The sequence below is a fragment of the Homo sapiens genome, chromosome 6 (genome assembly GCF_000001405.40).
Source record: "Homo sapiens chromosome 6, GRCh38.p14 Primary Assembly".
In the NCBI taxonomy this organism is placed as follows: domain Eukaryota; kingdom Metazoa; phylum Chordata; class Mammalia; order Primates; family Hominidae; genus Homo; species Homo sapiens.
Genome location: NC_000006.12, coordinates 6,192,017 through 6,217,383, shown reverse-complemented (window position 1 = coordinate 6,217,383; position 25,367 = coordinate 6,192,017). Strand labels below are relative to the sequence as shown.

The 25,367-nt window shown below is 41.5% G+C and overlaps 1 protein-coding gene across 1 annotated transcript in view; it reads left to right on the top strand.

The window, feature by feature from the left end:
* F13A1 (coagulation factor XIII A chain) overlaps window positions 1-25,367 on the top strand; it is a 176,579-nt gene that overhangs the window by 103,279 nt on the left and 47,933 nt on the right. The window contains exons 9-10 of the mRNA NM_000129.4: window positions 20,058-20,161; window positions 21,499-21,587. Coding sequence (NP_000120.2) covers window positions 20,058-20,161; window positions 21,499-21,587 — 193 coding nt within the window. The remainder of the gene's footprint in view (window positions 1-20,057; window positions 20,162-21,498; window positions 21,588-25,367) is intronic.

The following is a 25,367-nucleotide window of genomic DNA, read 5'->3' as shown; positions in this document are numbered from 1 at the left end:
TGTCCCTACAAAGGACATGAACTCATCATTTTTTATGGCTGCATAGTATTCCATGGTGTATATGTGCCACATATTCTTAATCCAGTCTATCATTTGTGGACATTTGGGTTGGTTCCAAGTCTTTGCTATTGTGAATAGTGCCGCAATAAACATATGTGTGCATGTGTCTTTATAGCAGCATGATTTATAGTCCTTTGGGTATATACCAAGTAATGGGATGGCTGGGTCAAATGGTATTTCTGGTTCTAGATCCCTGAGGAATCGCCACACTGACTTCCACAATGGTTGAACTAGTTTACAGTGCCACCAATAGTGTAAAAGTGTTCCTATTTCTCCACATCCTCTCCAGCACCTGTTGTTTCCTGACTTTTTAATGATTGCCATTCTAACTGGTGTGAGATGGTATCTCATTGTGGTTTTGTTTTGCATTTCTCTGATGGCCAGTGATGGTGAGCATTTTTTCATGTGTTTTTTGGCTGCATAAATGTCTTCTTTTGAGAAGTGCCTGTTCATGTCCTTTGCCCACTTTTCGATGGGGTTGTTTGTTTTTTTCTTGTAAATTTGTTTGAGTTCATTGTAGATTCTGGATATTAGCCCTTTGTCAGATGAGTAGGTTGCGAAAATTTTCTCCCATTTTGTAGGTTGCCTGTTCACTCTGATGGTAGTTTCTTTTGCTGTGCAGAAGCTCTTGAGTTTCATTAGATCCCATTTGTCAATTTTGGCTTTTGTTGCCATTGCTTTTGGTGTTTTAGACATGAAGTCCTTCCCCATGCCTATGTCCTGAATGGTATTGCCTAGGTTTTCTTCTAGGGTTTTTATGGTTTTAGGTCTAATGTTTAAGTCTTTAATCCATCTTGAATTGATTTTTGTATAAGCTGTAAGGAAGGGATCCAGTTTCAGCTTTCTACATATGGCTAGCCAGTTTTCCCAGCACCATTTATTAAATAGGGAATCCTTTCCCCATTGCTTGTTTTTCTCAGGTTTGTCAAAGATCAGATAGTTGTAGATATGCGGCGTTATTTCTGAGAGCTCTGTTTTGTTCCATTGATCTATATCTCTGTTTTGGTACCAGTACCATCCTGTTTTGGTTACTGTAGCCTTGTAGTATAGTTTGAAGTCAGGTAGTGTGATGCCTCCAGCTTTGTTCTTTTGGCTTAGGATTGACTTGGCGATGCAGGCTCTCTTTTGGTTCCATATGAACTTTCAGGTAGTTTTTTCCAATTCTGTGAAGAAAGTCACTGGTAGCTTGATGGGGATGGCATTGAATCTGTAAATTACCTTGGGCAGTATGGCCATTTTCACGATATTGATTCTTGCTACCCATGCGCATGGAATGTTCTTCCATTTGTTTGTATCCTCTTTTATTTCCTTGAGCAGTGGTTTGTAGTTCTCCCTGAAGAGGTCCTTCACATCCCTTGTAAGTTGGATTCCTAGGTATTTTATTCTCTTTTTAGCAATTGTGAATAGGAGTTCACTCATGATTTGGCTCTCTGTCTGTTGTTGGTGTATAAGAATGTTTGTGATTTTTGTACATTGATTTTGTATCCTGAGACTTTGCTGAAGTTGCTTATCAGCTTAAGGAGCTTTTGGGCTGAGACAGTGGGGTTTTCTAGATATACAATCATGTCGTCTGCAAACAGGGACAATTTGACTTCCTCTTTTCCTAATTGAATACCCTTTATTTCCTTCTCCTGCCTAATTGCCCTGGCCAGAACTTCCAACACTATGTTGAATAGGAGTGGTGAGAGAGGGCATCCCTGTCTGTGCCAGTTTTCAAAGGGAATGCTTCCAGTTTTGGCCCATTCAGTATGATATTGGCTGTGGGTTTGTCATAGATAGCTCTTATTATTTTGAGATACGTCCCATCAATACCTAATTTATTGAGAGTTTTTAGCATGAAGGGTTGTTGAATTTTGTCAAAGGCCTTTTCTGCATCTATTGAGATAATCATGTGGTTTTTGTCTTTGGCTCTGTTTATATGCTGGATTACATTTATTGATTTCCGTATATTGAACCAGCCTTGCATCCCAGGGATGAAGCCCACTTGATCATGGTGGATAAGCTTTTTGATGTGCTGCTGGATTTGGTTTGCCAGTATTTTATTGAGGATTTTTGCATCAATGTTCATCAAGGATATTGGTCTAAAATTCTCTTTTTTTGTTGTGTCTCTACCCGGCTTTGGTATCAGGATGATGCTGGCCTCATAAAATGAGTTAGGGAGGATTCCCTCTTTTTCTATTGATTGGAATAGTTTCAGAAAGAATGGTACCAGTTCCTCCTTGTACCTCTGGTAGAATTCGGCTGTGAATCCATCTGGTCCTGGACTCTTTTTGGTTGGTAAGCTATTGATTATTGCCACAATTTCAGATCCTGTTATTGGTCTATTCAGAGATTCAACTTCTTCCTGGTTTAGTCTTGGGAGAGTGTATGTGTCGAGGAATTTATCCATTTCTTCTAGATTTTCTAGTTTATTTGCATAGAGGTGTTTGTAGTATTCTCTGATGGTAGTTTGTATTTCTGTGGGATCGGTGGTGATATCCCCTTTATCATTTTTTATTGCGTCTATTTGATTCTTCTCTCTTTTTTTCTTTATTAGTCTTGCTAGCGGTCTATCAATTTTGTTGATCCTTTCAAAAAACCAGCTCCTGGATTCATTAATTTTTTGAAGGGTTTTTTGTGTCTCTATTTCCTTCAGTTCTGCTCTGATTTTAGTTATTTATTGCCTTCTGCTAGCTTTTGAATGTGTTTGCTCTTGCTTTTCTAGTTCTTTTAATTGTGATGTTAGGGTGTCAATTTTGGATCTTTCCTGCTTTCTCTTGTGGGCATTTAGTGCTATAAATTTCCCTCTACACACTGCTTTGAATGCGTCCCTGAGATTCTGGTATGTTGTGTCTTTGTTCTTGTTGGTTTCAAAGAACATCTTTATTTCTGCCTTCATTTCGTTATGTACCCAGTAGTCATTCAGGAGCAGGTTGTTCAGTTTCCACGTAGTTGAGCGGTTTTGAGTGAGATTCTTAATCCTGAGTTCTAGTTTGATTGCACTGTGGTCTGAGACATAGTTTGTTATAATTTCTGTTCTTTTACATTTGCTGAGGAGGGCTTTTCTTCCAAGTATGTGGTCAATTTTGGAATAGGTGTGGTGTGGTGCTGAAAAAAATGTATATTCTGTTGATTTGGGGTGGAGAGTTCTGTAGATGTCTATTAGGTCCGCTTGGTGCAGAGCTGAGTTCAATTCCTGGGTATCCTTGTTGACTTTCTGTCTCGTTGATCTGTCTAATGTTGACAGTGGGGTGTTAAAGTCTCCCATTATTAATGTGTGGGAGTCTAAGTCTCTTTGTAGGTCACTCAGGACTTGCTTTATGAATCTGGGTGCTCCTGTATTGGGTGCATATATATTTAGGATAGTTAGCTCTTCTTGTTGAATTGATCCCTTTACCATTATGTAATGGCCTTCTTTGTCTCTTTTGATCTTTGTTGGTTTAAAGTCTGTTTTATCAGAGACTAGGATTGCAACCCCTGCCTTTTTTTGTTTTCCATTTGCTTGGTAGATCTTCCTCCATCCTTTTATTTTGAGCCTATGTGTGTCTCTGCACGTGAGATGGGTTTCCTGAATACAGCACACTGAAGGGTCTTGACTCTTTATCCAATTTGCCAGTCTGTGTCTTTTAATTGGAGCATTTAGTCCATTTACCTTTAAAGTTAATATTGTCATGTGTGAATTTGATCCTGTCATTATGATGTTAGCTGGTTATTTTGCTCGTTAGTTGATGCAGTTTCTTCCTAGTCTCGATGGTCTTTACATTTTGGCATGATTTTGCAGCGGCTGGTACCGGTTGTTCCTTTCCATGTTTAGCGCTTCCTTCAGGAGCTCTTTTAGGGCAGGCCTGGTGGTGACAAAATCTCTCAGCATTTGCTTGTCTGTAAAGTATTTTATTTCTCCTTCACTTATGAAGCTTAGTTTGGCTGGATATGAAATTCGGGGTTGAAAATTCTTTCTTTAAGAATGTTGAATATTGGCCCCCACTCTCTTCTGGCTTGTAGAGTTTCTGCCGAGAGATCCGCTGTTAGTCTGATGGGCTTCCCTTTGAGGGTAACCCGACCTTTCTCTCTGGCTGCCCTTAACATTTTTTCCTTCATTTCAACTTTGGTGAATCTGACAATTATGTGTCTTGGAGTTGCTCGTCTCGAGGAGTATCTTTGTGGTGTTCTCTGTATTTCCTGAATCTGAACGTTGGCCTGCCTTGCTAGATTGGGGAAATTCTCCTGGATAGTATCCTGCAGAGTGTTTTCCAACTTGGTTCCATTCTCCCCGTCACTTTCAGGTACACCAATCAGACGTAGATTTGGTCTTTTCACATAGTCCCATATTTCTTGGAGGCTTTTCTGGTTTCTTTTTATTCTTTTTTCTCTAAACTTCCCTTCTCACTTCATTTCATTCATTTCATCTTCCATCGCTGATACCCTTTCTTCCAGTTGATCGCATCGGCTCCTGAGGCTTCTGCATTCTTCACTTAGTTCTCGAGCCTTGCTTTTCAGCTCCATCAGCTCCTTTAAGCACTTCTCTGTATTGGTTATTCTAGTTATACATTCTTCTAAATTTTTTTCAAAGTTTTCAACTTCTTTGCCTTTGGTTTGAATGTCCTCCCGTAGCTCGGAGCAATTTGATTGTCTGAAGCCTTCTTCTCTCAGCTCGTCAAAGTTATTCTCCATCCAGCTTTGTTCCTTTGCTGGTGAGGAACTGCATTCCTTTGGAGGAGGAGAGGCGCTCTGCTTTTTAGAGTTTCCAGTTTTTCTGCTCTGTTTTTTCCCCATCTTTGTGGTTTTATCTACTTTTGGTCTTTGATGATGGTGATGTACAGATGGGTTTTTGGTGTGGATGTCCTTTCTGTTTGTCAGTTTTCCTTCTAACAGACAGGACCCTCAGCTGCAGATCTGTTGGAGTACCCGGCCGTGTGAGGTGTCAGTGTGCCCCTGCTGGGGGGTGCCTCCCAGTTAGGCTGCTTGGGGGTCAGGGGTCAGGGACCCACTTGAGGAGGCAGTCTGCCCCTTCTCAGATCTCCAGCTGTGTGCTGGGAGAACCACTGCTCTCTTCAAAGCTGTCAGACAGGGACATTTAAGTCTGCAGAGGTTACTGCTGTCTTTTTGTTTGTCTGTGCCCTGCCCCCAGAGGTGGAGCCTACAGAGGCAGGCAGGCCTCCTTGAGCTGTGGTGGGCTCCACCCAGTTCGAGCTTCCTGGCCGCTTTGTTTACCTAAGCAAACCTGGGCAATGGCGGGCGCCCCTCCGCCAGCCTTGCTGCTGCTTTGCTGTTTGATCTCAGACTGCTGTGCTAGCAATCAGCGAGACTCCGTGGGCATAGGACCCTCCGAGCCAGGTGCGGGATATAATCTCCTGGTGTGCCGTTTTTTAAGCCCGTCAGAAAAGCGCAGTATTTGGGTGGGAGTGACCCGATTTTCCAGGTGCTGTCTGTCACCCCTTTCTTTGACTCGGGAAGGGAACTCCCTGACCCCTTGCGCTTCCCGAGTGAGGCAATGCCTCACCCTGCTTTGGCTCGCGCATGGTGCGCGCACCCACTAACCTGCGCCCACTGTCTGGCACTCCCTAGTGAGATGAACCCGGTACCTCAGATGGAAATGCAGAAATCACCCGTCTTCTGTGTCACTCACGCTGGGAGCTGTAGACTGGAGCTGTTCCTATTCGGCCATCTTGGCTCCTCCCCCTAATTATTGTCACTTCTATACATTATTTTAGATGCTGTGTATGACTCATCTAGTTGGACTTTTATATTGTAAAATTATCTTCAATTTTAATCACTGTCTGCAAAGCAGAATGATCTAAAAACGAATTCCAAGTAAAATAGTAGAGAAGAAAAATTCAGAATGTAGACCAAATTGCTTAAAGATGCTTAAGGGTTTGTAAAAATATCCCATGATGCATTGCAGTTGCCAATTCTGGACAGTTATCAGAGATGCTTATTTTCAAACATTTTCTTGTTAACCATATTTCTGGCCAAGTTGGTTTTAGGAAAATCACCTGGAGTTAGACCATGAGCCTTAGCATTAGAGGACTGAGAATATACACTGAAGGCACACAATAGTGTTGGAAAAAACATTATTTGCCACCTTCAAAGAATAAGAGTAGCTCATGTTCACAAAAATACTTTTTTTTGCAATGCCCTGATTTAAGTGCTGACATGTATTAATTTACTTCTACCTCTTAACAGCATGTTAAGGTAATTACTGTTAGTGGCACGGTAACTTAACCAAGGTCCCAGCCAATAAGTGGCAGAACCTGAATTACAAACCCAAGGGGGCTGACCCCAGAGCCCACTCTTTTTAAAATGACATCCTTATTGACTGGGCGTGGTGGCTCACACCTATAATCCCAGCACTTTGGGAGGCCGATGCAGGAGGATCACTTGAGATCAGGAGTTTGAGAACAGCCTGACCAACACGGTGATAACCTGTCTCTACTAAAAATACAAAAAAATTAGCTGGGCGTGGTGGTGCATGCCTGTAATCCCCGCTACTTGGGAGGCTGAGGCAGGAGAATCACTTGAACCTGGGAGACAGAGGTTGCAGTAAGCCAAGATCATGCCACTGTATTCCTCTAGCCTGGGTGACAGAGTGAGACTTGGTCTCAAAAATAAATAAATAAAAATAATTAACATCCTTATTAAAATATGCTTCACGGCCTGGTGAGGTGGCTCACACCTGTAATCCCAGCAATTTAGGAGGCTGAGGCAGGTGGATCACAAGGTCAGGAGATCAAGACCATCCTGGCTAACACAGTAAAAATCCCGTCTCTACTAAAAATACAGAAAAATTAGCCAGGCATTGCAGGCTAACTGTGGCAGGTGCCTGTAGTCCCACATTGCAGGCTAACTGTGGCAGGTGCCTGTAGTCCCAGCTACTCTGGAGGCTGAGGCAGGAGAATGGCATGAACCTGGGAGGTGGAGCTTTCAGTGAGCCGAGATCGTGCCACTGCACTTCAGCCTGGGCGACAGAGCAAGACTGCCTCTAAAAAAAAAAAAGAAATATATATATATATATATATATATCACATGCTACAAAATTTACAAAATTCACTCCTTTAAAGTAAAGTACACAATTCAATAATTTTTAGTATATTTTTATTTATGTATTATTATTATTATTTTGAGACAGGTTGTCTCTCACCCAAGCTGGATTGCAATGGCAAGATCATGACTCACTGCAGCCTTGACCTCCCAGGCTCAAGCAATCTTCCCATCTCAGCTTCCCTAGTAGCTGGGACTACAGGCACACCCACCACACCTGGCTAATTTTTAATTTTTTTTTTTTGTAGAGACAAGATCTCACTATGTTGCCCAGGCTGCTCTTGAACTCCTGGCCTCAAGAGATTCTCCTGCCTCAGCCTCCCAGAGTGCTGGGATTACAGGCATGAGCCACGGCACTAGGCCATTTTTAGTATATTTGTGGTCTTGTATAACCATCATTATCATCAGATTCCAGAACATTTTCTCTCCCCTCTGCCATACCTATTAGCAGTCACTCCCCATTTCTCCAACTCTGGCAACCTCGAATCTACTTTCTCTCTCTATGGATTTGCCAGTTCTGATCATTTCCTATAAGTGGAGTCATGTAATATGTGACCTTTTGTGTCTGGCTTCCTTCACTTAGCGTAACGTGTTCAAGGTTCGTCCGTGTTGTAGCATGTATCAGTACCTCATTCCCTTTCATTGATGAATGATATTTCATTGTGTGGATAAACCAGGTTTTATTTATCCATTCATCAGTTGTACATTTGGGTTGTTTCCATTTTTGGCTTTCATGAATAATGTTGTAATGAACATTCAGGTAAAAGTTTTTATGTGAACATATGTTTTTTATTTCTCATGGGCATATATTTAGAGTGGAATTTCTGGGTTGTATGGTAACTCTATGTTTAATTTCTTTTGATGAAGTGCCAAACTGTTTTCCAAAGCAGCTACTCCATTCTGTATTCCCACTAGCAATACACAAAAGTTCCAACTTCATATTCTTGCAAATAACTTTTATTTTCTGTTTTTTTTTTTTTTTTAATTATTATTGTAGCCATCCTAATGGGTGTGAAGTGGTATTTCATGGTGGGATTAATTTTCATTTCTCTAATGACCAATGACGTTGAACATCTTTTTGTGTTTTTCTTGGCCCTGTGTATATCTTCTTTGGCAAAATGGTTATTCATATTTTTGTCCCATTTTAAAATTGACCTACTTTTGTATTGTTGAATTGTAACTATTCTTTATATGTTCTGCATATAAGCTCTCTATCATATATGTGATTTGTAAATATTTTCTACCATCCATGGGCTCTCTTTTCACTTTCTTAATGGTGTTCTTTGAAGCACTAAAGAAATTAATTTTTATAAAATCCAACTTTTTAATTATTTCTTTGGATGCTTATACATTTGGTGTCATATCTAAGAAACCATAACTTGATCCAAGGTCACAAAGATTTGCTCCTCTGTTTTGTTCTAAGTGTTTTACAATCATAGATCTTACATCTAGGTCTGGGATTCATTTTGAGTTAACTTTTTATGTATGTATGAAGTATAAATAGAAATGGAGAAGAGAGAAAAATAAGAGAGCGAATAAGAGAGAAAACTAAAATCATCTTATTGATTATCTCTTGTACATGGTAAATTATTTTTTTAATGTTGTCTTAAAGATTCTTTGTTTCACTCAGGTCTGAGATTTGAAAAAGAAAAAAAGTAAAAAAGAGATTCTCTATTTGTCTTCAGCTTTTGACAGTTTGAATATGATGTGTCTAAGTGTAGATATCTTAAGTTTATCCTACTTGGAGTTTTTGAACTTTTTCAATGTACATAATAATATCTTTCATTGAATTTGGGAAATTTTTGGCTATCGTTTCTTCAAATATTCTTTCTGCTACTTGCTCTCTTTCCTCTTCTTCTGGGACTCCCATTAGGAAAATGTTAATATACTTCATCAACTGCATAAGTAACATCTCACCTGTTTCTGGGGCTTTGATTTTGTTTTAGTTTTTTGCTTCTGTTATTCAAATTGGATAATTTCAATTGGCCTACCTTCAAGTTCATTGATTCTTCTTTCTGCCTGCTTAACTCTACTGTTGAAACTAGTGAATTTTTCATTTTGGTTATTGTACTTTTCAGTTCCAGAATTTCTATTTGGTTCCTTTTCATAATTTCTATCTTTTCATTCGTATTCTCTATTTGATGAGATATAATTCTCATGGTTTCCCTTCAGTTCTTTGAACATATTTATAATGGCTAATTTAAGATCTTTGTCTTGTAAGTCCAATGTCTTAGCTTTCTTAATACCAATTTCTCTTGGCTGCTTCCTGTGTATGGGCTATACTTTTCTGATCCTTTCTGTGTCTTATAATTTTTGTTGAAAACTGAACATTTAAAATAATATAATGTGGCAATTCTTAAAATCAGATTTCCTGTTCTCTAGCACCTATTGTTGATGTTTGCTGTTGTTGTTGTTTTTGCTGCTGCTGCTCGTTTATTTAGTGACCTTCTTGGACTAATTCTATGAAGTCTGTTTTTCTTGTCATGTATGGCCACTGAAGTGAGCTGAGTTAGCTTAGTGGTCATATAACAATTGGACAGAGATTTCCTTAAATACCTTGGGCCAAAAGCTCCCCAGCTTTAGCCAAGTAGCGTTGTGTGTGTGTTGGGGAAAGTCTTTAATTAACCCGCAGGCAGTTTAAAATTCTTCATTAGCCTTCACTTCCTGTGTGGACAGAGCCTCAAGATCAACCAGAGATGAGAGATGAGGACCTTCCTGGGGCTTTTCTTTTGGGCATGCTCACAGCCCTGCACATGTTTGTGGCTATCTATGTCAGAGTTTTTCAAAGCCTCCTATGGACATCTTATTCCCTGTTTTTTCTTTCAAAGTGTTTTGGATAGCCCTTTTTTAGTCTCAAGTGGTATTGCCCCTTCAGGCATTATGATGTTAAACATTTGCTTCTATTTTATTTTTATACATTATATGAATAGGGCTGATTCAGAATGAGCTGTGAATCAGATCAAATAAAAACAAGCCCTGAGAATGGAGCTTTTCAGAGAGCTGCCAGGCAAGTTAAGCAGTGGCAATTTGGAGAGAAAGAGCTTTCGGAGTGTTCAAAACTCATTTTCTCTCCTTCATTGGTTTCTAGGCTGCAAGTTTGCAAAGCTACTGAGGCTACTGGTTTTTAAGACTACTGTGGAGGTGGGGTGAGAATAAGGCAAATTAAAACTCCACAAAGTCACTCTTCTTACTGAGATTTATGTTTGTTTGTTTTTTTCCTTGAATAAATGCCCCTCAGATTGTTGTTTGCTTCACTTCCAGAGTTCTGGAAAGGTCAGCTGTGATCATATTTGCAAGTGTTCTCATTGCTCTATGGAGGAGCAGATTTCCAGTAGTCCTTACTCTGCCACTCTGGAGGTGTTTCCCAGAGCCCACTCTTAACCACTACACAAGTGCTTCCTACCACACTGCTAAGGTGCTTTACATTTTGTAAGAATATTTTTGGCATCTAGTAGAGTCTTCCTGACATATATCTGCTGAAACACATATTATTGTATGTATATCCTTTTATTTCTCCATTTCTCCCATACATTACGGGGCATGATATTGATCTTTTAGAAAATTATGTATGTAGAAAGCCATCTATGGATTTAGTTTCAGCCTAATGAAGGAATGTAAAAAATATTTGCTTAAAAACAAGAAGGGGGCATTGCTCTTTGAAGGTTGGAAATCACTGCCCTACACTCTCCTCCCGTTCCTCTCAGGTACCCATCCATTCCTGCTGCTGGAATGTCTCCAAAGAGCGCCTGAAGCCCTCATTCCACTCAAGTCTCACTTGAGAGTAAACCAAGGGGAGTTTGGGGGTAAAATGTCAGAGGTCATTGTAATAACTTCTTGGGAAATTAGGCAGAAAGGGAAAAAAAGTGGGAATCATTTAATAAACCACATAGAAAACACTCCATATGGCAATGGAATCATGTTCTGGTTAATCATAATTTTTGCCTACAAGAGTCATCATATATACCGTTAGAAGGTTACTAGTTTTAAAGTAATTAGAAACTAATAAAGTATGCACCGCCTAGGCTATACTGAATGTAATGTAATTCCTTTTGGTAATTAATAATACCTCTAGGAACACGTTACAAAAATAAGAGCCATCAGCTGTAGAATATCATATTCATAAATAGTTTATAATGCAAAACAGTAACTTTGGTACCTACTGGGTCTATTGGTTGGAATTCTTTTAACCCTTTTCAATAATTATGGAGACACTTGTCCAGAATTTATTATATAAACTTTTTTATACATTAGACTTTTACAAACAAATGCTCTCAAAATTCAATATTTTCTTCATGTTCAGTCAGGATATTAATTCCTAGCTTGCTATGCCAGAGTGGTAAAAGGGGGTAGGGCTTCATTTTCAAAATGAACCCAGCAAAGGGAACCCAGAAGTGCTCAGAAAGGGCTTTCTGCTAACTAATGATGGCAAACGTGGTCTGTGTGATGGGGTGGCATCTACTTTCTGAAAATTTTTAATTTTAATTTTTGTTGTTTTCGTTTTGTTTTGTTTTATAACTTGTGTTTTATTTTTGCCAAATTTGGTTTCATTCCCTGCCTGTTCCATTTGGAGGTACTACACTAAAAAAAAAATAATAAAACACGTAATCACACCATGGGGAAAAATGAAAGGAGAAGAAAAAAAGAAAGCTGGATAATCAGCCCCTAATTTTCTAAAAATTGCTATTAACAAAGCTGCTTTACAATTCTCTTGATAAATATCCAAGAAATCTGTTCTTGGAAGCTTAAGAAGAGAGTGGAAAGGCTGTACTCTCAGGACTAAGGAAGGACTCACTCCCTAAAGACTTTGTGGATGGAAATTTGTTCAGTACTCCTGTAGTGTGTATGTGAGTGAGGACATCTGGACTGGTATCTAGCCAGGATGCCCTGGTAGAACTGCATTTAGCGTTGATGTCCTTTCCGATGGGTTGCAACATCCATTTGGTTCATGCCTGTGTCTGAGCACTTATTAATGGTTTTGACTATCACTCCTACTACACATACACCTCATAGTTTAATGGTGGAAGCTACAGCACCTGTCCAAGTGCACCCCGCCATCTGCAACCCCCTCCATTGAGGTCTCTTGTGCTATATCAGACTGTATTTACACGTGACTTCTCAGTGAGACTTGCAAAACCCCTTGCCTTCACAGGACAAGTAAGAATAAACACATTCATTTCTTCTTTTTTCTTGGCGGTCAGTTGATTCCTACAACAGCATCCTTTACTGAGCTGGGATGCCCATGGCGCCCTCCATTTATCTCCCATATAGCATTGCTATGCAAATGAGGCCATTCATGACTGGCTACCCAGGGCTTCCCCAGGTGGCTCCCAGCCAGAGGGATCTGAAGCAGCTGAGCCTCAGAGAGGACAGGGGCCCTGGCCTAGTCTCCACCTGACTGGACTGCTGGCCTTTGACATGACGCCAGTTAACATCCAAATGCCCCTTGCTGGTTTCAGCACTCCAACAGGCTCAAACAATGAATAGCTGTATTCTGAAATAGTGTCATGCTCGCAGCTCCATCAAAGATTCCTGCAGCATGCCTCTTTCCTCTGAATAATTCCTTTCTGTCATCTTCCTTCATTATATTTCCTAACAAGTTTTTTTCTAAGTCCAGGCTTTCATTTCCACTTTGAAATGTCTTGTTAGACAAGCCTCAGAGTCCACCAAATTGTTCCCACTTCTTTCCAACAACTCCCACCCCATCCTATCCCCACTGCCCCTGAAATGGCCAGAGCTTAATAATCCAGGATGTCCTGTCATTATTGTCAACAATATTGTTGTCTGTATTCGGAATGTATTAGCAGAACCAGAGAGGTAGGGCTACACCCATCTGCTACAAATACACAAATGATTTGCAAGATAGACAGTGCCTTTCTTTCACCCCCTGCCAGTTTTGCTATGAAAGAATTCAAACCCTTGGTTTACAGTTGAAGTTGGTCCAAGACATCTCCTCCAGGGCTTTCTCTTGATCTTATTTGTGCTCTCCCCTGAGCCCTAATAAAGCTGCACAAACAAAATTACAAGCCCATATCTCTTTCTTCCCTTTTAAGAACTCCTTTTCTCTGAAACATTTCTGGACAGATAGATTGTAAATGAGATGACCCTGTGGACTGTTTAAGCAGTTAGTTAGCCAAGTTAAGGTCAGTAAAGGACTCCTTGTTTAAATTAACCACTTTATTTTCTTCAAACACATAGCACCCTGAAGCCCATGTTGGTCTCAGCTGTGTTCTCTGTCCAGCTCTTCACCACCCCATAGGCTCCTATACCTCTGGATATGACCTTAGCCAGAACCAAGACAGATTTTGAACTACTGTGCTCTACTGGGTTTTGGTAAAATAAATACATAAATAAATAAATAGTCCTCAGTGTTTCGGAGGGAACCTAATACATGTTTATTATGCAGTATTTTAAATGTTGCAGAAAAAATACCAAAGTAAGAAGTATCTATTTTCTAACTACTCAGAACATCTGTAACATTTCCTTAACCCTTCTGTAATATGTCTCTTTGTGTGTCGTATGCATGTTTTTAATGCTGCATACCAAAGTACCAAAGTACCACAACGTAACAGCTTAAAAAAACACAACTTATCATCAGACAATTCCTGTGGGTCAGGAGTTTGGTCACTGGTTGACTGGGTCTCTCTGCTCAGGGTCTCAGATAACTGCAATCGATCAGTGTTGGCTGGGACTGTTGTCCCATCTAATGCTCAGAGTCCTCTTCCAAATTCATTGAGGTTCTTGAAAGAATTCAGTTCCTTGCAGCTGTAGAACTCATAGATGCTTCTATCTTCTTTGAAGCCAGCAGGAGAATGTCTCTGCTGCTTTGAATCCCTGACTTGCTCTGTCTCTGATCTCTAGACCCAGACTTAAAAGGCTCATCTGATGAGGCCAGACCCACCTGATAATCTACCTTTTAATTAACTCAAAGTCAACAGATTAGTAAACTTAATTACTTCTGCAAAATCCTCCTTGACACATAAAGCAACATAGTCACAGGAGTACTAGCCTGTTCTGTTTATAGATTTCACCTACACTCAGGGGAGAAAATTATACAAAATTATGCAAAAGGTAGTGGGAGTCATTTAAAATTCTGCTCTGCATGTGATTTTGAAACACTAATATGCCATGGATGTCTTTCTTGCCTAGTCAATATAGATCTGCATTTTTATGGCTGAATAGCATTCTATTCTGTTTCAAAATACTTGATCACATGTTGGACAGTTAGGCTGCTTCCATGCTTCCACTTTCCCTTTCTTACACCATGATGAACATTCTTACATAACACACTTGTCTTTGCATTTGTATGATTATTTCCCGTGTACAAATTCAAAGCACATGGATTTACTGAATCACAACATAAACTATGACGTCCCATGTAGGGTCCCCCAGCAGGGGATGGTGCTGCTGTTCTAGTGAAGTACTGCCTTTGGTGAAGGTTCTCTGAGTCCTTTGTACCAATACTGCTGAATTATTAGCATCCTTGAAAGGAGTTCTAAAAATTACTAGCTGTCACTGCACGGAACACACAGGAAGAAACATAAAGCAGAGATGTGTTCTTCACTTGTCATCTCCATCGTTATCCTCCCAAAGGTTGTTCTCATCTTGATTAAACAAGTCTCAATGAAATGAGGCCTTTATTTTGATTTCTATACTGCTTCTATAGAAAGAGGCAACAAGGAGATTTAGAATTTTTTTACTTTAAAGGGACACGGTACCTTTTGACTGTATAGTGAGAACTTAAGTTTCAAATGAAGGCTCCGAGAACATAAAAAACCATGAATCTTAAAGAGAAACAAACAAGCAAAGGTTTAATAAGAACTTCCTTGCTAGATGTCCTCATGATTTATTTAGCCAACACTTACTGAGCACCTCCTAATGACTGGGCCCTGCTCTAGTGCTGGAGATGTGTAGAAGAATAAGACCAACAGAGCTCCCAAAGTAGATTTATGCACTCTACAAATGCATGATGGAATTGCAAGATGAAAACAGAAAAACTCTTATGGATCTAGATAAAGAAGCTTTAGAATAAAAAGTAGCATTTCAGGAATCAGTTGGTATTTTCCAACCTGGAGAATCAGTAGATGAAATTAGGAAAAGTCTGTACGGAAGGAATAAGTGTTTGAGATCAAATATACAACATGTTGGCTATAGTTAATTATACTATACTATATATTTCAAAATTGCCAGGAGAGTAAATTTCAAATGTTTGCACCACAAAAATAAATATGGGAGGTAATCGATATGTTATTAACTTAATTATCCTGCAATGTGATTTGATTTTATATATATATGTAAAATCATCACTTTGTACCCTATAATATATACAATTATACAATTATTATGTGTCTATTTAAAAAATTAAAGATATGCTAAAGGAAGTTTTCCAACACAAAGGGAAATGACACTACTGTATATTGAAAATTAGATCCTCTGACACGTATGAATTGCAGCAAAAATGCTAAATATCTGAGAAAAATGCTCACGCCTGTAATCCCAGCACTTTAAAAGACTGGGGCAGGAGGATGGCTTGAGGCCAGGAGTTCAATACCAGCCTGGGCAACATGAGACCCTGTCTCAAGAAAACAAAACAAAACAAAACAAAAAACAGGAAAATAAATGTCTGTAAACATTAGCCTCTTTCATGGAGGAACTTGGGATATAAAAAACTGAGCATGCTTAAATAGAATTGTGTAATGTCAGCCAAATGGAAACTCTTGAGGCACGGGTGGCTTAGGACACAATTCCCCTAGTCATTCCTGAGTAGAGAGGATTGCATGGTGAAAGAGATCCCCATGGCTGTGGAGGTAGCACCCTCTCGTTCTCTTCATGGGCTGTCTGGGAGCTGAGCCATTAGCTTTCCACCCATTGATGGAGGCCCAGCCCTACTGGGAGCATTTGCTTCCTCCCCACCTCACCCACTGCCTGCAAGTTCCTGACCCTGTTATGAAACTCCCACCCTAAATACACAGATAACGTCTCAGCCATGAGTGAAACTAGAAGAGATCATGTGTAACTAATTAGATGTCAGAGTGAGAGAAAAGAAACTTTTCCCCGGGTCCTGGTCATTTGAAAAGAAATATTATCCTCAAAGAAAAGTCTTTACTTGAGATCTGAAGTGCAAAGCATATTTATCTTGTTCCAGGCTAACCTTGCCAAGGATATTTGAATTTAAATAAGGCTATTCTGGAGCCTATTAATCTAGGGTGATGGTGTAGCAGTGAAAGCCAGGGGGTCACTAAACACTTCGGGTCGTATAGGAAGCAGGACGGCGTCCATTCAGGGTTGCAAATGTTTTATTGCTGTTTTTCCCTGGGTCCTTCTGCCTGATGGGGCAACCTTCACTGCTCTGGAGAGAGGCTAGCAGAGTCATTGTCTAACATACACAGTGACCTCCCTTCCAGCTTCCAAGCAAAGATGGAGGCTCTCAGGTGGGAACTGACCTCATGTTCCTGCTCAGAGACCTCCACACCTTCACCCTAATCCACATCTGTACCCTTCTCTCCCTGCAGACCCTGCCTTGCTTCCCACATCTGTCCAGGGTGTTGCTCTCAGCCTCATCCTCTTGCAACCTTGGTATTTCAGCTCCCTTTTATATTCCCACTGTCTCTACCTTCCTCCATTCCTCCATGAACATGCCTCAGTCTCTTTTAATTTGAAAATAACCGAAACAGACTTCCCTGCATTGCATTACATGCTAGCCCCTGCCCTATCTTTTCTTCTGTCTTACAACCTAGATCACTTTTTTTTTTTTTTTTTTAGACAGGGTCTCACTCTGTCTTCCAGGATGGAGTGCAGTGGTGCAATCATGGCTCACTGCAGCCTTGATCTCCCGGGCTCAAGTGATCCTCCCACTCAGCCCCTCAAGTAGCTGAGACTACAGGTCAGCTAACTTCTTTAACTTTAATAGAGACAGGGTTTCGCCATGTTGCCCAGGATGGCCTCAAACTCCTGGGCTCAAGCAGTTCTCCTGCCTCGGCCTCCTAAAATGCTGGGATTACTGGTGTGAGCCACTGTAGCCAGCCTCTAAGTCACTCTTAAGGAAGAAGCTACCTCTTTCTTCCCTCCTCATTCATTTGTCAGCTGGCTTTGCCCAGCCCTCCTCCACCACCCACCAATACTCCCGCAACCTCCTCCTCCGCTTCATCCAATCCAGAGCATCACAAGTGTAGACAAAAATGCCTCTTAGGCCTCACCTCCTGGGTTTCCCACAGGCACTCAAGCTCATCCTGCCCAGAATTGGGCTGGTCATCCACCCATCACCACCAGTCCCAACACAGACTTTCTTCTCTTCCTTTTTTATTCACAGTCTTGGTAAACAAAACCATCATACTACTTGGACAGGCAAAAGTCTTCCCCAACTCATCCGAGTCCCTCACATCTCCCTAAACCTGTGGGTTGTATCCCCAATGGCTTCTCTCCCTCTCCATGGTGCTGGCCACCTGAATGCCTTTCTGGTCCACTATTGCAGTTCTTCAGGGGTGGGGGACAGCCGGGGAGGACTCAGCTCAATCTCCAGCCTTGCCTCTCCATCCATCTTCCACGAACAGAGATTTGCAAATTTAGATCTTCTTCTTAAATTATTCCAATGGCTTTTTATAGCCTAAGAATAAAGCATGAATGTTTAATTTGATATCAAAGGATTTCACAATCTTATCCTTACCTATATCATAGGTCAGTGTTGAAGAGTGTGGATTTCAGAGCTCTATCACTAACTAGCTGTGACCTCAGCAAGGTTCTTAACCTTCCTGGGTTTCAGCTTCCTCCCCTGTAAACTGGGGGTAATTATAATAGTACTGTTCTTTTTTTTTTTTTCTGAGATGGAGTCTCGCTCTGTCGACCAGGCTGGAGTGCGGTGGGGTGATCTCAGCTCACTACTGCAAGCTCCGCCTCCCGGGTTCACGCCATTCTCCTGCCTCAGCCTCCCGAGTAGCTGGGACTACAGGTGCCCGCCACCACGCCCAGCTAATTTTTTTGTATTTTTAGTAGAGACGGGGTTTCACCGTGTTAACCAGGATGGTCTCGATCTCCTGACCTCGTGATCTGCCCGCCTCGGCCTCCCAAAGTGCTGGGATTACAGGCGTGAGCCACTGCGCCCGACCAATAGTACTGTTCTTATAGGGTGCTAGGGACATCAGATGTGTTAACATCCATGAGGGTTTTAGAACACCACTTCGCACTAAGGAAGTGTTATATGTATTTGTTAGTTTCGTGCATTGCCTGCCATCACCGTTCTCCTATGAACCTGAATGTTCAAACACGCTATGCTCCAGCCACAACACACAGCAGACAGTTCCACAAACAAACCATGATGGCTATTTCATGCCGCTGTAACTTTGTTCTTCCTCCTTTTCTTGACCTCCTAAATTCCCATTTATCTTTCGAGCCTCAGCTCAAACATCACTTCCCAAATACCTGGAGACTTTGCTCCACTGAGACTCCATGGCACCCCAAATCAACACCCGTTTTACCAGGGATCATTTAAATTAATTATTTTTCAAAGCCTGAGAGTTACCATTTTTGAGCACTTAACACATGCCAGTCTGTGTTCGAAATACATGTATTAGCTTATTTAAGTCTCACAGCAAACCTATGACAGTTTTGATAATTGGTTTACAGGTTTGTCATTTCTCCTAGAAGATTACCCTTTATGGGTAAGAATCTATGTTTTGATCATCTCTGAGTCTCCAGCACCTACCAAGGTGCCTGGTGTGTAGTGGGTACATAGTGAAATTAATATCTCTTGAACCAATCAAAAATGGGCTGCACTCAGAGAAAGATGGGAGCATGGGCAAACAGCTGACATTGAAGGGCGTCTAGGCACGGAACCCGTGGTAGTTGAACCTGAAATTCATCAGTGTCATAAACAAAGACTGCTGTAACTACCTCACCACATTATTAAATCTTTCTTTATTACTATATGAACATTTTCTATAGTGCTGAGGGGTTAATGTGCTCTCATTTGATTCTGTACTGTCATATAATTTCAGGTCTTTTCAAGGACATAATAATACAATTCATGATGGCATTTTATTCCATGCTCTTGCTTCCAGGGTCATATTCAAATTTCTGAGAAGTTTTCCATGACCCTTAGCACTTTTAATAAAGGGTAAAGAGAGATTCACCCTGACAACGTATTCTTCTTGTTGGACACGAGATGGAAATTGTAGAGAATTATAGTCAGGCATAATTGTTGTAGTTTCTACAGTAATAGTCTAAGACCACAAACACAAGTATTTTTTGCTTAATTGCTACAAAGGAATATGCTTTTTCTAAATAGGAACTATATTAAAAAGTTCAAAATAAATATTTCAGTTTTGGTTAACTTTTCTTCCCCACCCTGTCGGTACCTAGTAAGTTGTTTCGTTAGTCAGCAGAAAATGGTTAAGATTAAAACTGTTCAATGCACTGATTCAAATATCTTTGGGTGGCCTTGAAGCTGCTCTTAGCAGAGGGAAAGAGACATCCAGCCATGTGAGTGTCCTGAGGGATGCCAATGAGAATGAATCTGCCCAGAAAACCCAAGTCTAGAGCCCCAGGATATCTCCAGGAGCCCTCAGATTTGGCTTAATCCATTCTAATAATCTGTAGATAGCATATGCACAGGATTTGGGGTCACTTTTTTTTTTTTTTGAGATGGAGTCTCCCTCTGTCACCAGGCTGAAGTGCAGTGGCACAATCTCAGCTCACTGTAACCTCCATATCCCAGATTCAAGCGATTCTCCTGCCTCAGCCTCCCAAGTAGCTGGAACTACAGGCACCCGCCACCACACCCAGCTAATTTTTGTATTTTTAGTAGAGACAGGGTTTCATCATGTTGGCAAGGCTGGTCTTGATGTCTTGACCTTGTGACTCACCTGCCTTGGCCTCCCAAATTGCTGGGATTACAGGCATGAGCCACTGTGCCTGGCCGTCACTTCTTGATCTCTTGGAGCATTGGGTGTGATGGGAAGTTTAACCTTTCTGGGCTTGTGTTTTCTAAGGAACTACCACTGCTGGAATGAAGCATGGATGACAAGGCCTGACCTTCCTGTTGGATTTGGAGGCTGGCAAGCTGTGGACAGCACCCCCCAGGAAAATAGCGATGGTAAAACTGTGTCCTCCCTCTGGGAACTTGCTTCATTGCTGATCTTTGTTTTGCTTTTATGCTTGCATTTGATGTGTGGGAACCACGCCCATTGGGAGGCAACATCTGAAGTGTGCTTCCTGGGCACATGTACAGTATTAGCTACCTTCCAATCAGGTTTAATTTCATTTCCATTGTCAGCTTTACCCTGATTATTTTACAGATTTTAGAGAAAGAATATAAAACAACGTATAATTCATCCATTCTTGCTTTGCTAAGCAGTTTTGAAGACAGGAGAGAAAATATCTGTAAGCATTTTTACTAGGCTATAAAATATACTTCAGCCCTTTGTGGTATGCACTGGTAAGATATAAGGCAGGAGAGAAAATAGAGAACTCGAAAAATAATTATAGATCATCCTTTAAATTGTTTTTCCAGAACCTGGCCTCCTTTTATGTCATGTGATTTCCTCCAAAGCTTCAGTATGTGGGTATTTGTCTTCTAACTTGCCAACTATGCTAAGCAGCTGCAGCTCTGACCTCCCCCAGATTTTTATAAAATCACATCATAAGCCTCCATCTCTCTTTAATATGATAATATAAAGAATCAGTAGACTGTGGATATTATGTTTATTTCCTCAGGTGTTGATATATCGATGGGCACACACAGGAACATGCATAAACATTCAATGGATATTCATACTGAAACCATATTATAATCCTAGGCTTTAAGGAAGAAAGTTTAGCACTTTCTGGTGTTCTGGTATATATATCATGGGGACATTTTACAGGTGACTAATAGCAGCTAATCTCTTATTAACTATATAGATAGGTGGTTAAAATTTAAAGCATTTTAGAAGAGTAACATAGGCCCTCTGACTTCCTAAATGCATGGTGGGCATGGCCAAAATGCACAGGCAATGTCCAAATTCTCCAGTTAAACTTGACATATGTTCATAATGTCCAAAAACAAAAGACAAAAAGCAAAACAAACAGCAACAGCAGCACAACCACAGAGCACACATCAACATTTCCAACATTTCAGATACCACCTGAACAAGAGATAAATGCTGTGTAAGCCACCTGCTTGGCATCAACACATCTGGGTATGTGTCTGTAGGTGGCAGAGTAGATGCAGGAATAGTGTTGCCTTGTATTTATTTCCATGGCTTCAATTTTTGGCTTGAGGGGGCATAGCCAATGGAATTCTCTTCAGCCTTGGAAAGCATCTGGGCTAAATCAGCAATGAAGTTGGGAACACTGGTCTTTACAGAGTCACCCTCAGTGCCATGAATCTTGCAGTATCTGGACAGAATTGGAGATGACAAACTCACACCGCCCTTCCTCTGTGCAATGCAGGCATGTATCGGTGTGGCCCCGCCTCGGTTCAAGCCATCAAGCACGGCCATGTCTGCTTCCAATTTGATGCACCTTTTGTTTTTGCAGAGGTAAGCAGGAAGCTGGAGGAAAGTGCTGTTTTTCTCCCCAACCTCTTAACACATGAAAGAGTAAGCTAAAAGTTGTTGTTTCTAAGTTTTCCAGGTACATAGCGTATGCTTCGTGTTGACAAAGGTAACTAGGCATTATTCCAACTTCCAGGCTATTAATGCTAAATGCAGTTCTTGTTTAACATTTTTCTTTCCTTGATGTTTTGGGATTCCCTACTCCCAAAAGTAAATGCTTTACTAACATTAGCTTAGTTCTCTGCACCCATTAAGTATCAACTGCTCCAGAGAAATTATATGACTAATGGATCTCTCAACTAACCTCATTGGAAGAGATGGGTCATGAATTGAAATTTCAGGACATGCCACTTCCCTCTGGGACTAGTCCAGCAATCCAGGTAAGACAAAATCCACATACACACACCCAACCATGGTCTTACCCTGGCCTTTGCAATCTATGTCCTGCCATCCCACACCATCACCTGTGGCCAGGGAGGGAGGGTTGAGTTGCCAAAGGAGGAAGGGGAGCCTGGAGGCTACTCTAAGAGAGGAATACAGCCCACCTACAGGGTTGATGGGAATGCCTGGGCAAAGGCTCTGCCATTTCAGAAGAACTAGGCAGGGACTGGAAGCAGAACAGGCTGTTAAAGGATACTCAAGGAGAGCTCTGAAAATCAAATTAAATGTAAGAGATGTTGGGTAAACGAGAAGGCTGGGCTGCCGGCCTAGGAAGACTTGAAAGACTGAGAGGCAGGACTTCCCCAGGGTATATTTGCACCAGTAAATACACTGAAATAATGTCTTTCACTTTGCCTACCATTGGATGCTCTTAGCAACCTTCTAAAATTGATAATTCTTCCCATTTTACAGAAAATAAAATCGAGGCAAAGAGTGATTAAGTGACTTTCTCACAACCATCTAGCTAATAAATAGCAGTGCTAAGATTTGAAGCCAGGCAGATACCTGAATGCATACTGGTAACCATTGCACTCTAGTACTCCAGGAGGAACAAATAGTTATTATTAATGTACACCAGGCATTGTACTGGGGGGAATTCTAAGGTTCAAGTCTTTAAGAAACGTATTTCTAGATGCCAGGTGACAGGGCACAAACACACTGAACATGAAATAACAACAATACTTGTCAGGTGGGCCATGTAGAGAGCACAGATCTGCATTCATATGATGCATGAGTTGGGAAGTAGAGGCCAAGAACTGAAGCAGGATGGCAAAGACCACAAGACACCATCTAGGAAGGAAGGGCGACCTGGGAACAGACAGTGAGGATGCCTGTGGAAGTGTCCCCAGGTAGTAAGAGCAGAGAACTGTGGGACCACATGGGAAGGAGGGATGATTAGGCAAAATGATTAGAAAGAAGCCAGAGGAAGGGAGGAGTGCAAAGCAGGGGGATGAGTTGAGCATCTGAAAGCTTTGTGGGGGCAGTTGAAAGCTGTGCAGACTCACTAGAACGCCAAGGATGCATCAGGGGTGTTGGAAGGTGGAGGCTGAAGGAACGCAGTGCAGAGGACCTCCCTGAGAGACTTGCTCCTTGTCCCTCCTGTAAGTGAGGGAGAGTTTTCACTGGGTGGGAACTTGGGCAAGGTGCTGACAGCCTTGTGGAACACGGATTGGAGGGGTTGTTATGAAGTTGTGGGGAACATCTAGAGGGCTGGTCATCCCTCCAAGCCAGAGATGGAAAGGGCATGAGCTAGACAAATGGCAATAATGAGGAAAAGAGGAGGCAGGACTGAGAAATGTTAATATTTAGAAAGCAAAACGAACATCAAAATTCAGACAGCAAGATCAGGAATTTGAAACACACAAAAGACCAGTGTTCATCTCATCGTACCTGCCGTGGCAGTTTACAGAAGCCTTTGGAGACCAAGCTTACTGGACTTGGAATTTTATCCCCTCGTTTTCACTTTGGGATTTGAAGATTTCCACAAACCTCCCAGCTGTCATTTGATAGTTTATGATGCTACGAGAGCCCCTAATGAGGAGATCACTCTGAAATCCACAAAGCCTTGTTTTCAGCTTTTTATTACACTTTATTGCTGCAAAGAAGGAGAAGGAGGACCTCCCTCCACAAGCAAGCTGCCTAATAGCTGTAAATGCAAACACTTTTTGCTATTATTAAATATAGATCGGGGTGTTATGAATGTCATCAGGATTTGCAGATTATAATTACTCCTTTCTCACCCACTGCAGAGGCGTGTCTGACAGAGGGTACAATTTGTTGCTTTGGCATGGGCTGCGCTCCAGGGGCTGAGCCATTTTTAAGAGATGTTTGAGTTGATGAAAAGTGTATGAGGAATCTTTTCTCAAGGGTGCCTGCAGTGGGACCCCATGGGGAGTGTCATATGAGTCGATATGACTCAGGTTCGAGTCTGTGGCTCTCTCTGCTCTCCCTCGTCCTTGCTGCATCAGCTCGCCTTCTCTTCCCTCCCAGCATGCTGACTTTCTTGGTCATTCCTTACTCATTTCCAGGCTTGATCAAGCATCATGTTCATTGACTGTTTTTTAGTGTTCCCAGGGCCTTAGTCTCCATGAGTGAAAGCAGAGCCTAAAAAGAAGAGGGGTATGCCTGGAAAATGTCTTACCTTCTGTTCCTTTTTTCTCTCCTCCTCCACTTTGGAAGTTCACCCTCCACATTTCTGGGTTTCTGCCAGGGCTTGAAGCTTATTTCTCTTACCCCTCCCTTCCCATGTCCTCCCTGCTGCAGTGGGTTCCTGTGGATCTGAAGCCCCATCTGCCTATCTCCCCAGCTTATGGTGGCCTAGGGCTTCCAAATAGGTGAGAGGAGATGAGAGCTGTTCTAAGCGTCTGGAGTCGTATTCCAAGATTCCATGTTCACGAAGCCCTCAGGGGTTCTTAGTGAAGAACTCTCTCCTTCTTGCCAAAGATAACTCTCTTCTGTCCTAACTTCTCATTAACTCTGCTGCCCTCTTTCACACCACTCCACCCCAAACTCACTCACATACACACACACATGCATGCACACACTCCTGCCTGCCCTCACTGGCGCTGAGATGATTTTGACAGGAGCAATAACTGGCTCCCTGGGACCACAGCAACCATCTCATCACTCAAGAAGCTAAGCCCTCCTCTGCTGTGGGCCAGCAGTTCTCTTATACAACGTGTGGAGATGTTTTCCTGTAGATTATTCATTCTCAATTCAAACTTATTTATTTTGCTACTATCTTATCAGATGCAGCCTATTTTTTTGGCATCTCCTACTTGGCTATAAAATAATCCAGTCATTTATTCAAATAGCATACAAAACTTTGGAATTATTTTAGCTTTCCTTCTTAACCTCCCTTATGCATCTTGCCAAAAATACCTTCCCAAAATTATCATAAATCCAGCCACTTCTACAATCTCTATCGTTACCCTCTGAGCTCTGTACAACACTGAGCTCCATAAAGTTACCTCCTAACTCCTCCTAACTCATCTCCCTGATCCCCCTCTTGCTCCTTTTCTGTCTATTCCCCACAGAGCAAGAGAATTATTCTTTAAATGTAAATACAAACATCACACTCCTGCCCCAACCCTTCTGGTGGAGTTCCACCACCCTTACAATAAAACTGAACATAAATTCCTACAAGATTCCATGGCTTCCCTTCCACTTCATCCCTTGTTTATTTCCCTCCAGCCATACTGAGATTTTTCTCTTCAGAAAGCATCCACACATCCTCTTGTGTCAGCACTTTTAGACATACTGCTCCTTTTGCTAGGAAAGCTCCCCTCACTATCTTTCACTCTGTGTAGGAAGAATGCTTTGCAT